This window comes from Homo sapiens, chromosome 8 (genome assembly GCF_000001405.40).
Source record: "Homo sapiens chromosome 8, GRCh38.p14 Primary Assembly".
In the NCBI taxonomy this organism is placed as follows: Eukaryota; Metazoa; Chordata; class Mammalia; order Primates; family Hominidae; genus Homo; species Homo sapiens.
In genome coordinates, this window is record NC_000008.11 from 132,603,242 (window position 1) to 132,623,818 (window position 20,577).

Consider the following 20,577-nt stretch of genomic DNA (forward strand, 5'->3'; position numbering starts at 1 on the left):
GACAGAGCTCTAGAGGTATTATGAGAAGATGGTAGTATGTAGGAAGGAGTACAAATAGAGAAGAACAGAGGTCTCAGAATTGAATTATTGCACACACCAACTTGCAGAAGCCTAGGTATAAGAAACAACCAGCAATGAAGCACCTGGTGGCAAAGGACTCCAGCAGACAGAAGTATCTGGTGGCAGAGTGAAAGCTGTGTATTGAAAGCCAAGTGAGCAAGGATTTAAATATGGAGGAACTGTATAAGGGATAAAAAGCCTACTAAAAGGTTAAATAAGAGGAGGACAAGGGATGATCACCAGGTTTAGTAATCTGGAGGTTATTGGAGACATCAAAGAGAGATGTTTTAGTGGGGGGTGGGGGTGTGGGGAGGACATAATGCCTAATTGGAGTTGATTTGAGAGATAATGAGAAAAGATTTGAAACAGCAAATAGAGGCGTCTTTTTTAAAAGTTTTGCAATGAAGTGGACCAGGGCGGTAAATAGAGGGGGATGTTTTTATTTTGTTCTGTCTTTGTTTTTTAAGAGGGGAGACCTTTCAGAATGTTTTCTAATGTAAGATTCAGAGAGGTGACATTCAAAGAAAAAGTATAGAGAGCAGAGAACTGCCAAAGGCGGGGGCGGAGTGGGAAGTCTTTTAAAAGCAAGTGGAAATAGGATCCAATACACATCTAGAGGGATTGCATACACCACAGACAGTTCATTCATAGAATTAGGAAGGAAGGAAGGCCAGGTTGCACAAGGGGATATAAATGCAGATAGGTTGGTAGCCATTATGGTTAAAGTTTGTGGAAATTATCTTTTGAGGCTTCCACTTTTTTCAGTTAGAAATTTCAGGAATGAGCTTCAGTTGGAAGTTTTATAAATGAGCTGAGAATGAGAAATAAAAGAGCAGAAGTATGGATGAAACAAGAAAACCTAGCAAGATGCCCAGGCAACACTATAGACCCACTTGACAATCAGAGAATAAAAGTGCATTTGTGTTGGGTATATCACCAGTATATTTGAGCAGAGAAAAAGTGGAATGTGTGCAACTAATAAGGAGGAGGTTGGTTTGAGATTGTGTTTTTTAGAAGTATGGTCTGTATTATTGACCTTAATATGTGATCTTCACTTCTTATGCTCAGTATAAACAGAATTAAGCAAGATATTCACCACTGAAGTGGTAAATATATTTTGCTGTTCAGTTCACATGGCAACTTCCTTAATCTCAGTTAATTATTCTGAAGAAACACCCAAAGGAAATCATGAAGCATATTCTTGGAGTGTTCCTGTAACTTGTCATTTAAGAATTGAGATGGCAGTTTAATTTAATGACTTGATGCAAGTGAACAAGCCTCTCAGTGCATGCAAAATTCCAGTTAAATTTTAAGTTGGACTGTGGTAAAATCATATGCTAGATATCCTCCGGATGATGATGAAAAGATTATGTACATAGAACTTAGTTTGATTACACATTTTAAAGAACTTGGAATGAAGGCCAGACATAAACTCCTAGAAAATGTGATGAGGAATAACCCCAACCAAAATAGAAACTAAAATCATACATATAATATCTATAAATAAACTTAGGACATGTGTAGCAACTATAGAGAGAAAACTACCAACAAAGAAAACCTTCTAATGGACATAAAATAAGAGTAATAATGGAGAGACACATTATTGAATATCCAATTTTGATAATGTAAATACATCAATTCATTCCTATTGCAATCTATAAATTCAATGCAATCTTAATAATTATAAAATACTAGCTAGTAGCAATTGATATTATTTAATAATATGCATTACTAGCAATGAATAATATTAACAGTAAACATTAATGTAGTGTGTATTATGTCCCAAGCGCTGTCCTAGGTACTTTATTTATATTCACTTGCATAATCCTCAAAATAACCTTTTGAGGTCTGAATTACTACTGATATCATTTTATGAATGAGGAATCTGAGGCACAGAGAGATGAATAATTTGCCAAGGTCACACAGTTGCTGAGTGAAATATCAGAATTTAATTCAGGTTCTCTGGCTCCAGAGCCCATTCCCTTAATCATTTCTTCCCACTGCCTCTAAATCCATGGCAATAAAAATTCCAATGGTCTTTTCAGAGGCGGAATTTGAGAAACTCATTTGAAAGTTAACCCAGAAAAATACATATGGAAAAATAATCAGGAAATAGTTGAGAGGGAGAGTAGTTTAGGGGAGACGCATGTTCTAAATATTAAAATGTATTTTAAAGATACATTTAAGGTATTCACTCATTCAACAAAAATTTATTGAAGACCTACTCTTTGCCAGGATCTGTTCTAGGTGCCATTGACAAGGACAGACAACACTCCCTGTTCTCAGGAAGCTTAAATTCTTGTTGGGGAAAATAGAAAAAGAAATAAACAATTAAATATTTAGACTGTACAGCAGGAACAGGAGATTTAGAATACAGCAGGAACAGGGGATACAGAATGCTGAGGTTGGGAGGAGATGTTTTGTAAATATGGGTATCAGGAAGGGCCTCAGTGATATAATGACACTTGAGCAGAAAGCAAATTATGAGGACATCTTGGGGAAGGACATTCTGGCAGAAAGAACAGCAAGTGCAAGAGTCCTGAAGTAGAAAGATGCTTGTCATGTTTGTGAAATAGCAAGGAAGCCAATGTGGCTGCAATGACTAGGAAGGAAGTGGTAGAAGATGATGTCAGGGACATAATGGGGTCGGGGGGACAGGTTATCAGGGGACTCTGCCTTTAACTCTGAATAAAATGGGAAGAGTAACTTGGTCTGATTTACATATACAGTCATATACAATGGTGGTCCCATTAGATTATAATGGATCTGAAAAATTCCTATTGCCTACTGACACTGTATCTTAATGTTGTAGAACAATGAATTACTTGCATGTTTGTGGTGATCCTGGCATAAACAAACCTACTGCACTGCCAGTCGTATAAAAGTATAGCATATACAATTATGTCCAGTACATAATACTTGATAGTGATGATAAATGACTATGTTACTGGTTTATATGTTTAATTGTACTATACTTTTTATCATTATATTAGAGTGGGCTCCCTCTACTTATATTTAAAAAAAATAATGTTGTCCCTGAAGACCTTCCCATGGGACAAGATGTGGAGGCAGAAGACAGTGATACTGATGATCCTGACCCTGTGTAGACCTAGGCTAATGTGTGAGTTTGAGTCTTTAACAAAAAATTTTAAAAAGTAAACAAATAAAATATTAAACTATTTTTATTTTTCGAGACAGGGTCTTGCTCTGTCATCAAGGCTGGAGTGCAGTGGCACAATCAATGCAGCCTCGATGTAGCCTCTGGACCTCCTAGGCTCAATGTAGCCTCTACCTCCCAGGTTCAAGCCATCCTTCTGCCTTAGCCTCCTGAGTAGCTGGGACTAGAGGCATGAGCCACAGTTCCTGGCTAATTTTAATTTTAATTTTTATTTTTGTAGAAATTGGGCTTCACTATGTTGCCCAGGCTGGTCTCAAGCTCCTGGGCTCCTGCCCCAACCTTCCAAAGCGCTGAGATTACAGGCATGAGCCATTGCATCTGGCCAAAAATTTTTAGAAATGGAAAAAAGCATACAGAATATGAGTATAAAGAAAGGAAATATTTTTGTATAGCTGTATAATGTATTTGGGTTTTAAGCTAAGTGTTATAAGAGTCAAAACTTAGGAAAAAAACTACAAAGCTTATTAAGTAAAAATGTTACAGTTGTTTATTGTTGTAGAAAGAAACACTTCAAAAATAAATTTAGTGTAGCCTAAGGGTATAGTGTTTTGAAGCCACAGTAGTGTATAGTCATCCTGGATCTTCCCATTCACTCACCACTCACTTGCTGACTCACCCAGAGCAACTTCCAGTCCTGCAGCCTCCATTCCTGGTAAGTGCTCTATGCAGGTGTACCACTTTTTATGATTCCCCCGTTGCTGGATGCTATCTTTATGAGATGGCCAGAGTACACCTCTTCTACTACTTCACTTGCCACTTCTAGCCTAGACAGTGACCCTTGTTAAAACGGTAGAGGAAGTACAGTGACAACTGACTTTCTGGGAAATGTGGCTGTATACTAGGGACCGTGATATTTGTGTATTACAGCAATCTGTAGTATGCCATCGACCCAGTGGTGAGTGTTGGGAAGCACCTAGGATTGCACAGCTAGCACAAAGTGAAACCTCTTGGAACAAGGGGCTGAGCTGGGAACATCCACTGACATGGCAGCAACACAAAACATAACCATGACCCACATGACAGGGAAAAGACAAACTGATGAAACTTGCATATTGGTCAATACCCAGAGTGTATAGATCCAGCCTCATTTAGGAGTAAGAAAAGAGTAAAATATTAATTTGACATCATGAAAAAACGCTGAGTAACCACTGTTTTGTTCTCTATCTCTGTATATTTGAATTTATTTTTAATATTCCATATATAAATGACATCAAGCAATATTTCTATTTCTGTGTCTAGCTTAATTCACTTGGCATAATATGCAGGTTCATTCATGTTGTGGCAAATGGCAAAATCTCACTCTCTTTAGGGCTAAATGATATTTTATCATATTAAACGGTCACACACACACACATATATCACAGTTTCTTCATCAACTTGTCTGATGATGGACAAATGTTGATTCTTACAGTATGTTTCATAACTCCAAGAATTTCCCTCAGTAATTATAATGCAGGTCAGACTCACACAATTCCACAGTAAGTTCATAAGTCCAGACTAATACAGAATAGCTCCATGGGTTAAACTTTGGTACTTAAAATGTTTCAATCAATAATAATTAGAAAGATGTTAACTTTCAGAAATATACATTTTTAATATTAAGTATAAATGAAATTAGAATTTTTTTAACTTTTGGTGGTTTTTAAGATCCTTGCAAATAACTACTTATGGATGAAAAAGACGACAAATTTTCAGCAAGAAATTATTCCCCAAAGTTTGTTTTTACTATCTACCTTTTAAAAAGAATAATGATAGAAAACGAAGAACTTATACATCAATATTACTTTAACATAGTAGTCGAAAATCTTAAAAAATATATCCCTCAAGGGAAAATATTATTCATAATTTATTAATGACGAAAATAGAACTATTCCTAGTCCATATATATATAAATTATTTCATCTCCAATCAAGCACTTCTAAAATGCTTTTTCCTCATAAGCCATTTATTATTATTTTCATGTGAAAAATTTAGACAGATTAAAAACATAAAGGAAAAGGGGAAAAGAATGCTGCAGTTGTTTAAGACTCATAAACAGTGACAGTAGAGCTTTTCTCATCAATTGGTTGGCACCCTGCAAAAGATACACAAATCATCTGTCTTGATTTCCCTTTAGGAATTAGCAGAGTCTCTATTTAATCTTTGGCTTTCCAGTTAGAAGTTTCACACAGACACAAAAACAACAGGCTGCTAATCATAGTGTTACACAAATGTCTGTATCAAAGTACTGAGGTAATTAACTTATATCTTAGATTTCCCTATAGAATATTCTGGTTACTATAGAAGCATTTCTTTAATTTGTTATAGTCATCAAGAACAATACAATTCTTACAGCTGTGTTTGTTATTTTATTACTTGACAACAAATTGTATTTGCTATTTTATTGCCTCCAAGTAAAAATACATAATTGAGTACCTATAATGAATCCGTTGGAAATTGGCTACAGGAAACGCAGAATTATTAAATTATTACAGAAATCTTTTTGGTTAATCAAGTTTGTACTCTTCATAGCTGACATTCCCTCATTCTACTCTTTTTCCTCATCAGCAGAACCCAATTTTGACTGGTTTATCTACTCTTCCCCTTTGAAATCTAAATGACTTGGGCAAAGTTGACCCTACCCCTAGCTTATGGGATGAGGTATGATTAATAGAAACCAATCAAAATACGTCTGTGGGGAACTGGTTCCAGGACATCCCTTGAACACCAAAATCTTCAGATGCTCAAGTCTCCAATAAAAAATGGCATAGTATTTGTATATAACCCACAAACATCTGTACACTTTAAATCACCTCCAGATTACTTACAACACCTAATACAATGTAAATGTTATGTAAGTAGTTATTATACTGTATTGTCTCGGGAATCAAGAAAAAAAAAAAAAGCCTGTACATGTTCAGTATAGACACACTTCTTTTCCTGAATATTTTTGATCCCTGGTTGGTTGAATCCATGGATGCTGAACCCATGGAAGGCTGATAGTACTACCATCTTTTTGGCTAGAGATTGGTTTTAATGGTTCAGGATTATGGTAATCAAGACTTGGTGGGCTCTTCAGCTAAACTGACCTAAGAAGTTCCAGAGGAACTTCTGTTTCATTGTGATGGGAGAGATTCTCTGTGTTTCTTTCTCTGATCCTCTGTCTTTTTATCTCATGCAAGATAGGAACATGAAAGTATGCTGCCCAAGTCACTGCTAGTGCACATCTTATGGAAGAAAACCAGTCTGAGGACAGAATTGACACATCAGAAAGATCCTGACCCAATGTTCTTCGACCACCTATTCCCCACTTTCTCCTATCTTGATACAAGAAATGAACCATTTATTTATGATAAAAGCCAGTTTTATTTGGGGTTTCTGCAGCTTACAGCAGGAAATATCCCAACTCATTCATATGGCCTGTAATGATGAATCCAAGTTCTTTCTATGGACAAATTAATTTTTTTAAGTTTAATTTCCTTAAGTTCTTTCAGGAAAGGATAAACCACCTTAGGCCCCAAACACATTCCAGTCTGAGTTCTTTGTTCTCACAGACCGTTGTTCTCCTACCTCAGCTGCTGTGAGATTTCCTGGTGCTCCCAACTAAAATGTACTTTAATCAGAAGTCATCATTAGTCCTGACAGGTCAAGTTCCTTCAGGAACCCTCATATCCAGACTTGAAATTGACCCAAATGACATGACCTACCTTGGGCATGCAGATGACCAAATGACCCGTTGTCTGAGATCTTTTAGCAGAACTACTATCGGGTTTCACTTCTGCAGGAAGGACAAGCTGAAATGGCTGAAAATAAGTAGAAAGAAAGTATCATTGAGAGCAAGGACGTTACATGAGAGGGTTACTAAAAGGGGCATTTTCATTACAAATTCAAGATACACCATTCAATTAAGAAATGTGCTTAAGCTTATTAAAAATATTGATATGAGCTATGCTTTCTATGCACAAACTATTTTACCTATTTTAACAAGTAGTCTAAAGAACAGTTATCAATCACAAACAGTGACATGCTCGTGGGTTCATGTAATTTATAGAGAAAGCCCTGTCAAAAAACCATCAACATTATTTCCATTTAAAAATCTTTAAGCTAATCTTCAAGCCCATATTAGCCCAAATTAGCAAAAAATGGTATTTTAGAAATAATAAAATTATAGTTTTTATGAATGAAATCATTGACAACTTAGAATGGGTGTACAATTTAATTTCATGCATAGGCTCCCACACATATAATTATGTTATTAGGTTTGAAAAAAGTGTAACACAATAGACACAGGTTTAAAATATTAATGATATCCAACTACATATGGTCAGCAGCCATTCCCACCTTATACCACTCCCATGATACAAAACCATGTGCTAAAAAATAGCACTCTGTTTCATTTCCCTTTTTCTATGTTTTGTTTTATTTTTGTTTATTTATTTATTTATTTATTTTTGAGTCAGAGTCTCACTCCAATAGCCCAGGCTGGAGTGCAGTGGGGTGATCTTAACTCACTGCAACCTCCGCCTCCCAGGTTCAAGCAATTCTCCTGCTTCAATCTCCCGAGGAGCTGGGATTACGGGCATGAGCCACCATGCCTGGCTAATTTTGTAGTTTTAGTAAAGACAGTATTTCACCATGTTGCCCAGACTGGTCTCCAGCTCCTGACCTCAGGTGATCCGCCCGCCTTGGCCTCCCAAAGTGCTGGGATTACAGGCATGAGCCACTGCGCCCGGGCCCTTTTTCTATTTTAATAATACTTAAAAACATTTGAGGCACCACAGCTTAGTTCAAAGCTTAGCTTTTGAAATTGTAATAGCCTACAGGGTTCTACTTACCTTTCCTTTGATCATTACTCGCACGTAAGTTGGTTGCACATCAACATCGATTAAAGAGGTATCCATATACCTTCAAAATTAAACACAGAAAATCTTATAATTTTAAAAAATATCAAGTTTGAATAAGTGCAAATATAAATTCACACTTACAGGACCATTTTAAATGAAGGGCGTTTAAAATATCCATGCAAAATGGGTCTTTAAAAAATTAGTTTTAAATTAATTCCCAGACCAAAGGAAATTCAATATATCAGCAATTTCATTTTTAGACCCACAAGTATACTTGGCATTGATTGCCCCTAACCCAAAAATATCTGAGGTCTGAAACACCAGAGGTTTGCAAAAAACAGCTTGCCATGCTCTTTCATGAATATTTTATTTTAAGCCCCTAAGACTTGAATAGCCAGGAATGCTGATTCTACTCTGCTTGAGGCCTGCAACCACCAGCTCCTGCTTCCTTGGCGGCTCTGGATCCCCTGCAGCTGTTCTGCAGCTGCCCTAATACTATCTCTCCTGGAAGACTAGATTGCTTCTCCCCTCAAAGTCACATCCTGCTGAATAAGCAAACCCTTCTGTTTATGGCAGTGACCCCAAGATCAGGTGGCAATTATTCTCCTCCACTCATGAGCAAATTAAAGATTTAGATTTCATATCACTCATTAAATCAGAAGCTTGGCCAAATAATTATGTTCACATACTTCAAAATACTAATTGTGAACATTAGAAACTGCAGAGCTGCTTTAAAAATCACAAATGTTAAGGCAGGTAAGCTAATACAAGGGTTACAGGCATAGGTTTGGAGTCACACAGGCTTGTGGGGAACTGGCTCCATGCCTTCCTGCTTTATTACCTGGGACCACATTCCTTAACCTCTCTAGGCCTCAGTTTCCTCTTCTGTAAAATGGGGATACTACTAACACGTAGCCCTAAGATTGTTAGGAAGGAACATGTATAGTGCCCAGTACATAGCTAGTGTTAATAAAGCATCATTATATGCCATTTAAAAACAATTTTTATAATAATAATAGAGATGAGGTTTTCTACAGCTTCACATGTGATATCTACACTTAATGGATTATGCAGTATTTTCCATGCTTGGGCCCCCTAAAATGTTCATCTGTCCTTACCTACATGGCCTTTCTCTGGCAGAAATAATTGTCTGACAGTTCTTTGCAGAGCAAGCTGCTTCTTATCTTTCAATTATCATTGCTCACGTCTCCCCCTTTCCCTGACTACTCCCCGCACAGCATTATTCCCATCCCTGAACACTGTCCCTCTCCTTGACAGCAGCCTTCTTCCTTTGTAACTCATCAGATGTCTATTTATTGTCTGTTGCCCTCCCCCACAGGGCTCTAAGTGATAGGAGATCATGACTGGGGAGACAGTTACAGTCTCCCCATGCCTGGCACATAGTAGGTATTCTATAGATGCTTGTTGAATAAAGGCAGGAAGCAGGCGTGAACGAATGAATTTAACTTTCAAGTAGACACCTATGTGCCCATAAAGATAACCAGGAATTATAGCATAATTCATTTAGACAGAATCATGGGAATGAAAGAGTTTTACTACATAGACTGGAGAAATATTACCACCCCTTAAAATGCACATGCATGGGAATGAGGAATGTTTCCATTTGAGGACTGAACAGGAAGCAGCCAACAGAGCTGAAAAAGAAAGGGTTATACATTCATTAAACACCAGACATAGGGCCTAAAAATGGAAAGGACTTACAAGGATGAAACAGTGATTTGTCTGAAAAACAGTAGAAACGGCAGCTTGGGAAGCTGGAGGAGCAGAGGATATGAAGCTAGCTGGAGAAGAGCTGGGATCTTTGTAAAGGCAGATAACCTGGCAGCAAGCAGGCAGAAGAATTGACAGGAATTCTGTGGAGAGGCACACAGCTGATCTGAGACAGCTTGGTGTGGAGAGGAAGGGACCACACTAAGGCTAGCCCTGGTACACAAGAGCCAAGGTGGAAACAACCCAAATGCCTACCATCTGGTGAACGGATAAACAAAATGTGGTACATCTATGCAATGGAATAGTATTTGGCCATAAAAAGGAAGGAAATTCTGACACGTGCAACAACATGGATGAGGCTTGAAGACATTATGGTAAGTGAAAGAAGCCAGACACAAAGGCCACATGTTGTATGATTCTATTAATATGAAATATCCCAAATAGGCAAATCTATAGAGACAGAAAACAGATTAGTGGTTGCCATGAAGACAGAGAATGGGCAGTGACTGCTTAAGGACCATGGGGTTTCCTTCTGGGGTGATAAACATTTTCTGGAACTAGACAATGGTAATGGTTGTACAATATTGTGAATTTATTAAATGCCATGGTGTTGTCCATTTTGAAATGGTTGAAATGGTCGATTTTAAGTTATGTGTATTTTACCACAATCAAAACAGCAAAGTTGGTTGAAGTCCTGAGGGCTGATGTTCTGGCTCCTTCGGTCCCTGTTCACTTTGACAAGACTCACTCTTGGAAAAGTTACCCCCTCTTGGGTAATAATCCCTCCAACCTCCCAGGGTTACTGAGAGATTAAATAAAATGGGGCACATCAAAAGCCATTAAAAAGAGAAAGGCATTTATTATAATTCATGCATGTAAACATTCATCCATTCATTCATGCATGTCAATGTCATACTCCCATCATCAGTATTTGTTCATTCATTCATTCATTCATTCTTGTGTTTATTGAGCACCTAACAGGTGCCAGGTATTGTTTTAGGTGTGGAGATGTAGAGAGGAAAGAACAAACAAAACAAGCTTCCTGCTCTGACCACAAACTTTTAAGAATACAAGTAAATTTACACTTTGTCAGCAGGAAGTCAAAAAGTAGAAAGAGTGGAAGGAAGTGCTGGGCAGGGGTAGGTACTGCTTTATGTCAGATGGTGGGGCAGAGAGGCCCCTCTAATGAGGTGACATCTGAGCAGAGGCCTGAAGGACACGAGGCAGCAAGCCACAAGGACACCGAGGGTGATACAGGCAGAGGGAAGCACAGGCAAGCAGCCTCTGAGATGGTGCCAGGGGACACTGAGGTCATCAGAAGGATGTATCGGCACAGTGAACCAGGGCCTAAAATCTTCAGGGAATGAGGCAGAGTGACCTGCTGCCTTTAGATGCTTCCACAAAGAAGAGAAGAAGGGGATACAGGCTGAAGGTTTGAGTGTCAAAGCCATGGAGCTTTAGGGAGGAGAAAAGGACAATAGTTTGGGTGTGGTGATGAGGGCAGGCAGGAGGTCTGTGCCACTCCTACCCATGGGTGAGAAAACAGGCAGGATGTGAGAGGGCAGCAGGGAAGAAGGGTCCACTGGTGACAGGGGCTGCTAGGTGTTCCCCCAGGCCTCTGAGATGGGACTGAGGGAGGGGAGCCGATCACCTGATACCTACTACTATAGGAAGGCATTTTAGACAAAAACAGAGGACTATGCCAGCAAAGACAGAGTGGGGTCCTTGTAGTATCAGCATCAGAAAACAGCACAGGTCTGAGAATTATTTAAACTCTGCCTTAGATATTCCTGAGTTCATATCCATGAAATTGTGGCTTTATTTACCTTTCCTTTCATTTTCATGCTTTTAAAAATTATAGTAACTTCTCTGTCTTAACAAATAAGCTTCATTTAACTATAGGTCTAAGTCAATTCCATTTCAATTTTTTCAAACTAAAAAATTACTACTGAGAATGAAAACAGACAGAAATGTCATAAATAAATACGTAGAAAATGTCTTTACCTATAGACAGCAAGGTCCAGGATGATCTGCTTTTCGTTATCTTTCAAAGAGAAGTCAATTCTAAGAATAACACATTTGGTGGGAAAAAAGAGATGTCTTTAGGATACTGTATAGAAAACCCCATCATAAATTCATAAGCAGATTAGATAATAATTCTATAATAATATCCAAAGACAACTTATTTTAGTGGTTGAACAATCAAATATCAACGGTAATTTTAACATTTCAGCAAAACCTACAACATATTAATAAATTATTTGTGTTTACAGTGTTTAAATGTGAGAATCTTAAGGTAAATTACACACAAAAAATTAGCTTTAGTGCAGAGATAGAGACATCTGGTGGCTAAAGTTTTCTTTTCCATCTCATATGAGTTTGCCAGAAGCAAACTAAAACATTGGAATTATTTATGGAGAACTAAAGGTTGCTTTTGCCTCCCCTTTATCCTGCATTCTATTCCTTAAGTTTTAGAGTCCTGTCTTCCTTCTTTTTTCTTGCTATCTTTTTTCTTCTCCTTTCATCGCTGACCTTTCCATTGCCCTGAAAAAGGCTGAGACACTGCTCATTATCTATTACCTCTGTTTTATAGATGAAGAAACAGAGGTTCAAAGAGGTTGGCATAGCTGAATTATAATAAATGCCTTTACACTTTCTCTGCACGAGCCTGGCTAGGCAGGATTTCAAAGCTCCACCATCTTTCAACTGTACCCCGAGGTTGAGTCCTAGGTCTAGCTTCCACACTGAACAACATACTATCAGAATTGCCTGGTCAATTTTCTTTTGAACATTTCAGTTACTGTATTACTCTATAAAACATACAACTCAACAATATTAAAGAACATAAGCTAAACTGTTTAGGAAAATGTGAAGTTAGCGATAGATTTGGCTGTTCGCCCCATTTCTGCTTGTGGCAGGCACTGTCTCATTGCTTTCAATAGTCAGGCCTGTGGGACTTCTTCAGTGTCTCAAATGACCCATGCATTTGTAGAACCTCATCTCAGGAGCCTTTTTATATGCTCCTGCTCTGCCTCGATTGCTTATTACTTGTAAAGTAATTTCAGAGAATTTTCCTATGGCAGAGATTGCTATTTAGTTGCTATCTGCTTCCCCTTTATTCCTAGTGACAGGAACCATGGTTTTAACTAGGGGCATGGCTATGTACAATAAAGGTTGCATTCTCTGGCCTCCCTTGCAGGTGGGTGAGGTCATGTGAGGGACAGTCGTTGTATGGCACTTTCTAAGAATGTCCCTTAAGAAAAGGAGCGTGTATCCTTTCTTCCCTTTTTTCTTCTTTATTTAGCTGAGTAGAACAGAATGTAGGAGGCCAACAGATAAACCATGGAGACTGCTTAATAAGCAATTGCAACTGTCCAAGCAAGAGTTAGTGTCCACTAGTGGTGGTGGTGGGGTCAGTGAGATGTGGCTGGATTCTGATAATATCGAAGGAAGAGTTCATAGGACGCACTGATAAAATGAGGGAGAGAAGAATTAAGGGAGAATCCAAGGTTTCTGGTCTTAGCCAAGGGGTGAATGTGTGTTACTGAGATGGAGAACACAGGGACACAAGCACACGATGCTGGAGAGTGTTAGTGAGGCTGGAAATCAGGGGTTCTCTTTTAGTCGTCATAAGTGTGCAATGACTCTCTTATATCCACCCAGTGATGTCAAACAGCTAATTGTTAGAAACAAATTTTCAGTGCCACAAAGTGAAACCAGCACTCAGGCAAAAGTTTTCTCAGCAAGGCAATATACTTCTATAGAAGGGCACTTCCTGCATGCAAGGCAGAGGCAAGGGAGAGTGAGCAAAACAAAGGAGAGCAGGAGTTTTTTATCCCTAACACAGACCCTATTCCTATGTCCTTCCACTGCAGGCTGGGGTTGGACCGCTCAATCTAGGCTAATTCTGATTGGCTACTGTTGACATCATCAAAGGAGGCAACAGTGGGCATTTCACAGGAAGGAAAGGTACGGTATATCTTGGGGTGTTTGGGCACAGTAGAGATAGGGAGGGCTGACAGATGAATGGGTACAATTATCTTTTAGAATAGAACAAAGAACCAGGAACCGAAACCCTCTGAAGAGGAACTATATATTCTTAACAACATAACTGAATAGACAAGTCTTGAGCTCAGAGAAGAGGTTGGATCGAGTTGGGAGAAATGTAAAGGGAGTGTTTACAGCCATGGGATTTGGTGAGAGCCATGAAGAGCGAATGTGAAAAGGGAAGACAGCTGAGGAGTTTGTTATAGGGCACCCAAAAAACAAAATCAAAAGGATCTGTCAAAGCTTAGGAAGATGAGCAGTCAGTAAGATAGAAGAAAAATCAGAAGTAAAGGGAAGAAATTGCTTTAAGAAGGATGGTACTGAAGCAATTGTGAATGGGAGTTCACTCATGATTTGGCTCTCTGTCTGTTGTTGGTGTATAAGAATGCTTGTGATTTTTGTACATTGATTTTGTATCCTGAGACTTTGCTGAAGTTGCTTATCAGCTTAAGGAGATTTTAGGCTGAGACAATGGGGTTTTCTAGATATACAATCATGTTGTCTGCAAATTTTCCTAATTGAATACCCTTTATTTCCTTCTCTTGCCTAGTTGCCCTGGCCAGAACTTCCAACACTATGTTGAATAGGAGTGGTGAGAGAGGGCATCCCTGTCTTTTTGCTTCAAAGAGAATAAAATACCTAGGAATCCAACTTACAAGGGATGTGAAGGACCTCTTCAAGGAGAACTACAAACCACTGCTCAAGGAAATAAAAGAGGATACAAACAAATGGAAGAACATTCCATGCTCATGGGTAGGAAGAATCAATATTGTGAAAATGGCCATACTGCCCAAGGTAATTTACAGATTCAATGCCATCCCCATCAAGCTACCAATGACTTTCTTCACAGAATTGGAAAAAACTACTTTAAAGTTCATATGGAACCAAAAAAGAGCCCACATCGCCAAGTCAATCCTAAGCCAAAAGAACAAAGCTGGAGGCATCACACTACCTGACTTCAAACTACACTACAAGGCTACAGTAACCAAAACAGCATGGTACTGGTACCAAAACAGAGATATAGATCAATGGAACAGAACAGAGCCCTCAGAAACAATGCCGCATATCTACAACTATCTGATCTTTGACAAACCTGAGAAAAACAAGAAATGGGGAAAGGATTCCCTATTTAATAAATGGTGCTGGGAAAACTGGCTAGCCATATGTAGAAAGCTGAAACTGGATCCCTTCCTTACACCTTATACAAAAATCAATTCAAGATGGATTAAAGACTTAAATGTTAGACCTAAAACCATAAAAACCCTAGAAGAAAACCTAGGCATTACCATTCAGGACATAGGCATGGGCAAGGACTTCATGTCTAAAACACCAAAAGCAATGGCAACAAAAGCCAAAATTGACAAATGGGATCTAATTAAACTAAAGAGCTTCTGCACAGCAAAAGAAACTACCATCAGAGTGAACAGGCAACCTACAAAATGGGAGAAAATTTTCGCAACCTACTCATCTGACAAAGGGCTAATATCCAGAATCTACAATGAACTCAAACAAATTTACAAGAAAAAAACAAACAACCCCATCAAAAAGTGGGTGAAGGACATGAACAGACACTTCTCAAAAGAAGACATTTATGCAGCCAAAAAACACATGAAAAAATGCTCACCATCACTGGCCATCAGAGAAATGCAAATCAAAACCACAATGAGATACCATCTCACGCCAGTTAGAATGGCTATCATTAAAAAGTCAGGAAACAACAGGTGTTGGAGAGGATGTGGAGAAATAGGAACACTTTTACACTGTTGGTGGGACTGTAAACTAGTTCAACCACTGTGGAAGTCAGTGTGGCGATTCCTCAGGGATCTAGAACTAGAAATACCATGTGACCCAGCCATCCCATTACTGGATATATACCCAAAGGACTATAAATCATGCTGCTATAAAGACACATGCACACGTATGTTTATTGCGGCACTATTCACAATAGCAAAGACTTGGAACCAACCCAAATGTCCAACAATGATAGACTGGATTAAGAAAATATGGCACATATACACCATGGAATACTATGCAGCCATAAAAAATGATGAGTTCATGTCCTTTGTAGGGACACGGATGAAACTGGAAATCATCATTCTCAGTAAACTATCGCAAGAACAAAAAACCAAACACCACATGTTCTCACTCATAGGTGGGAATTGAACAATGAGAACACATGGACAGAGGAAGGGGAACATCACACTCTGGGGACTGTTGTGGGGTGGGGGGATGGGGGAGGGATAGCACTGGGAGATATACCTAATGTTAGATGACGAGTTAGTGGGTGCAGCGCACCAGCATGGCACATGTATACATATGTAACTGACCTGCACATTGTGCACATGTACCCTAAAACTTAAAGTATAATAATAATAAATTAAAAAAAAAGAAGGATGGTACTGAACAATTTGATCCAAATCTGCTATGTCCAGTAAGACAAAGACTAAGAATCGAACACTGAATGTGGAAATAATATGGCTAAGGAAATTTCAGGATGATGGAATGCACAGAAGTGGTTTCAAGAAGGAATATGAAGTTAGAAACTGGAGACCAAGTGCAGACAATTCCATTAAATGGGGGCAGAGAAAAAGAGCTGCGGCTGGAAGGAAAACCAGGGGAAGGGAGGTTGTTGCTTTAATTTTGTTTAAGACAAAGATTTTTAGAATTTGTTTGCACATGTGTGAGACTGATCTAGCAGAGTGGAGAGAACTAGTGCAGAAGACCAAGGATAACTGAGCAACTAAGTCCTTGATAGGCAGAGGGGATGGAGTCAGGGTGCTTACACAGACTGATTTTGGATGGGAAGTTCACCGTCAGCAGCAGGAGAGAGGGGAGTACATGGGACAGGTCCAGATACACTGGTAAATTGGATGTTGGGAGGAAAAGAAATCTCCTGATTGCTTTTTTTCTCAACGAAATAGGAAACAAGGTCCTCAGTTAAGACTGTGGAAGTGTCAGATGATGTTGGAAGTAAGGAGAGAGAAGGTAGGAGAGCAGCTTGTAGGACAGTAGGAGAATGGATGGCCCAGGAAAATACAGGAAGATTGCCAGAGTCCATCTGAGATCTGTGGTTATGAATTTAAGGTAAGACCAGCAAGTAGAGGTGAATGGTCTCCTCCAGCCACACAGGAGGACCAGCCCAAGAGTGGGTAGTGTGCTGGATTTTCAACAGGTTGGGGTTTTGTGAGGTGAGGATGATGGAAAGAGAAAAAAACAAGAAAGCTGAAGACAAACGACAAGGACTGATTTCATTTTTCTTTTCCTTTTTTCTTGAGACAGGGTCTTACTCTGTCGCCCAGGCAGGAGTGCAGTGGCGTGATCTCGGCTCACTGCAACCTCTGCCTCCCAGGTTCAAGCGATTCTCGTGTCCCAGCCTTCCGAGTGGCTGGGATTACAGGTGTGTGCCACCATTCCTGGCTAATTTTTGTATTTTCAGTAGAGATGGGGTTTCACCACGTTGGCCAGGCTGGTCTCGAACTACTGACCTCAAGTGATCTGCCTGCCTCGGTCTCCCAAAGTGCTGGGATTATAGGCGTGAGCCACTGCACCTGGCCCAAGGACTGATTTCTGTGATGAACCATAAAACTAAAGCACAGCAAGAGAAGATGAGGGGTTAGGGTACAGTAAGAAAAATAGGAGAGTGAATTATCTTATGGTCTTCATGGGGGCACGTGGTTGTTTGAGTGGAGGGAGTTCCCCCAGGAACATAAGAAATGGTGTCTAGTGAGACACTCAAGGTTAAGTTTCTGAGGTGGAAGAGATATTGACAGTGGCAAATCTAGGAATGAAAATGAAATCGTGTGGCTGAGCTGAGCTGGAGAAGTGAGCCGGTTGGGGAACTGAGAGGCCAGGGCTTCTGGTGGATCACCTACATGTTTGATAAAGTCATCACCAAGACTGATAATAGCAGGAGAGGCAGAGAGAGACACGGGTGTGGGTGAAAGATCTTCAATGAACTGACAGGGCTGGGGTTGAGGGTTGACCAGGGTGATGTAGATGACTGCGGGAAGAAGGAGCAGGGGTGCTATATCTAGATGGCTTGTCCTTCAACAGAGAAAGGGAGAAAGATGGCCTGAAAGTGGCGATGGGCTGTAACTGCCCCTGTGGTGTATGTGGTGAGGAAGAACAGCTGTCAGCCACAGAAGTGAACCCTCCACTTCAGTTAGTGAAAGAGGAGAAACGGTGGAAGCTTCAGGCTTTGCTGTCCAAGCTCAAGCTCCAGAGGGCACAGGGGTCCAAAAGGGGTGACAATGAGTTGAAGTGGATCAGCGCCATTTGGGTATAAGATTCTGGCCAGTGGTGCATGACCTGGGAGGGGAGGAACAGGGGATGATCACATGTCGGGAGGCAGTGCTAGTGAGGAGGTGGTGGGTAAACAGTTCTTCATAGAATCAATCTCAGTAGAACTGGTTTTAGGGGCAGGTGAGGCTGCAGTGTGTGGGAAGAGTGGTGGTCTTACCAGAGACACATGGAGTTCCGAGAGTCTCCCTTGAGTTCTGTTGTAGGCTAAATAGAGACCGCCTAAAGTCGATTTCTGAACTCCATGAGGTCAGAAAGAAACCTGTTAACAGTCATTGCTCTATCCCCAGGGCCTAGCCTAGTGTTCTGTCTTGCATTCCTGTCTGCTGAGTGTGGGTAAGGGGAAGGAATTATAAAGTTTATCATGGAAGTCACTAGAACTAGGTTAGCATGAGCAACTCAGAAACACCACCTATTAGCTGTGTGACCTTGGGCAAGTCACTCCACCTCTCTCAGGCCCAGGTTCTGGACATGTAAAAAAGAAATACTGTTTACCACCTGTGACTGCTGTGAAGACAAATGATGCCCAGGAATAATTCAGGATTGTACCTTCACCATGGTCATGACAGAGCAAATGAAATGATGACAGAAAATAGGTTTGAGTAATAAAATGAAGTGAATGAGATTTAGTCTGTAGGCTCTCTGGTCTGTATTTTAGCTACAAAAGGCTTTTCTGTCCTGCTTTCTAATTTCAATTTTTAAGACAGACAAAGAGGGTAGATCAGATGTGATTATACTTGAAGATTTCCAGTTTGAGTATCCATCCTCTCATTAAATTCATTGAGGGTATTATATTGATTTCCTTCCCTAGCTCTCCAGTGCTTTGTAGATGTGCTCCAGAGTATAAAGTAGATGTATAGAAGGTACATCAGTATTCTCAAGCAGCTTGCTCATGGCAGAGTTTTAAAAATTCATAAATACAACAATAATGTGATGGCAATTTTCAGGCATAAAACTGTATATGGTCCAAAGTTTCATGGGGTACATAAATAACTAAGATCTCCATATGTCAAGATCATTTTCTAGATGCCAAGAAAATTATGCATTTGAAAACATAATAGATGTTTTGCCTTTAAATATGCACCAAATGACATTATTTTTAGACTCATCAAACTTGTTAAGAGCAGTCAGAAATATTCTTTGCAGAGCAAACCTGGAATTGAAACAATGATTGACCAACACCATTGACTGACACTTTTGGGTCTTTAACGCTCTATTTGGCCTCACATACTTGGGCTCATTCACATTTAGGGCTTTCCCATCTTCAGTGATCAAAGTCCTGGGTGGTTTCACTTTCTTCTTTTTTTCACTTAAGATTGGTGGTGGATGAGAACAATGGGCAGCATGGAAAGAAAAAACAAGCAAAGAGAATATAAAAGCAATTAATACATTTTTGTGAAACAGTTTTAAAAAAATTAATTGGACTTTTACGAACACATCAACAATTCCTTGTTCTTAAGTCCATTCCTTTAATTCTATGCTGGGAACTGACAATCAAGCCAGATTTTTTATATGGTTGTATCTGTATCTGTACAGCAAAAAAATGACCAAGACAATTTGCCAGATAATTTGAATGAGGGAAGAAAACTCCTTTTCATGAATGTCTATTAATATTTAAGTAAGTCTATTTTATACATGATTTACCCAGATAACTGTCAACTCTCCATTTGTGCACAGAGCTTCTGCTTTAGCTAAAATACAACATTTAACATACCAAGTAGAATCTATTCAATAGAAATAAAAATACCAGCACAGAAGAATCTATATAAAAGGATATTTCTCACAGCATTATTTACAGTAGCAAACCCCTGGAACTGTTGTGAATGTCCATCAGTGGAAAAATGGTTGGATCAACTGTGCTTCATTCATGCTATAAAATATTTTGCAGCTATTAAAAAATGTGTTTGCTCATTACCTATTGATTTAGAAAAGTGTTGATGATGTATTTAGTGAGAAAAAATATATAAAATATAAATCCATTTTTGTTTTACAAAAAGACCCCAAATCCTACATTTGCAGAGATAAGTTATACAATTACAAAGAGCAAAAAAAAAAATGTAGTGAGATCAACCCAAGCCTGTTAACACTCATTACACTGAAGGGTTGGATAGGAGGTAAATAAAGGAAGCAAATAATAGAAGATTAATGGAGTAATAGGAAATTAAAATGCAGTATGTAAATTCTATTTAAAAGATTACTGAAAGTATATAGAACCTTAAATAGGCAAATATGGACAATATCTAGATCAGATAAACAAATCTGTTTAGATGATGGAACTGTTGGCAATTCTTTGCCTTAAATTTCTATTGTACTTTTAATACAGATTTTGTGTCAGTTAACTTTATTTTGGAAAAAATCATTCACACTCTTCTGCATTTTAAACTGGGCCTCCAGATCCAATGGAGTTAATATTTCAATGACCCAGGACAATTAAGGGGC

The 20,577-nt window shown here is 39.1% G+C and overlaps 1 protein-coding gene across 26 annotated transcripts in view; it reads right to left on the bottom strand.

Moving 5' to 3' along the window:
* The window catches only part of DNAAF11 (dynein axonemal assembly factor 11), a 132,498-nt gene that overhangs the window by 32,826 nt on the left and 79,095 nt on the right, over positions 1 to 20,577 (bottom strand). For 16 of the 26 annotated variants that reach the window (NR_135906.2, NR_135907.2, NR_135905.2 and 13 more), the window contains 4 exons: positions 19,370 to 19,447; positions 11,797 to 11,856; positions 8,053 to 8,122; positions 6,925 to 7,020 (listed from right to left, as the gene is read on the bottom strand). Coding sequence is in view for 15 of the 26 variants with exons in the window: in XM_006716538.4 (XP_006716601.2) it covers positions 6,925 to 7,020; positions 8,053 to 8,122; positions 11,797 to 11,856; positions 19,370 to 19,447 (304 nt within the window). In the remaining 11 variants the exon portion in view is untranslated. Of the gene's footprint in view, positions 1 to 4,389; positions 5,313 to 6,924; positions 7,021 to 8,052; positions 8,123 to 9,783; positions 9,936 to 11,796; positions 11,857 to 19,369; positions 19,448 to 20,577 lie in introns of those variants that run through there. The other 10 variants (NR_135908.2, XM_011516950.3, NM_001321961.2 and 7 more) reach the window with 5 other exon arrangements.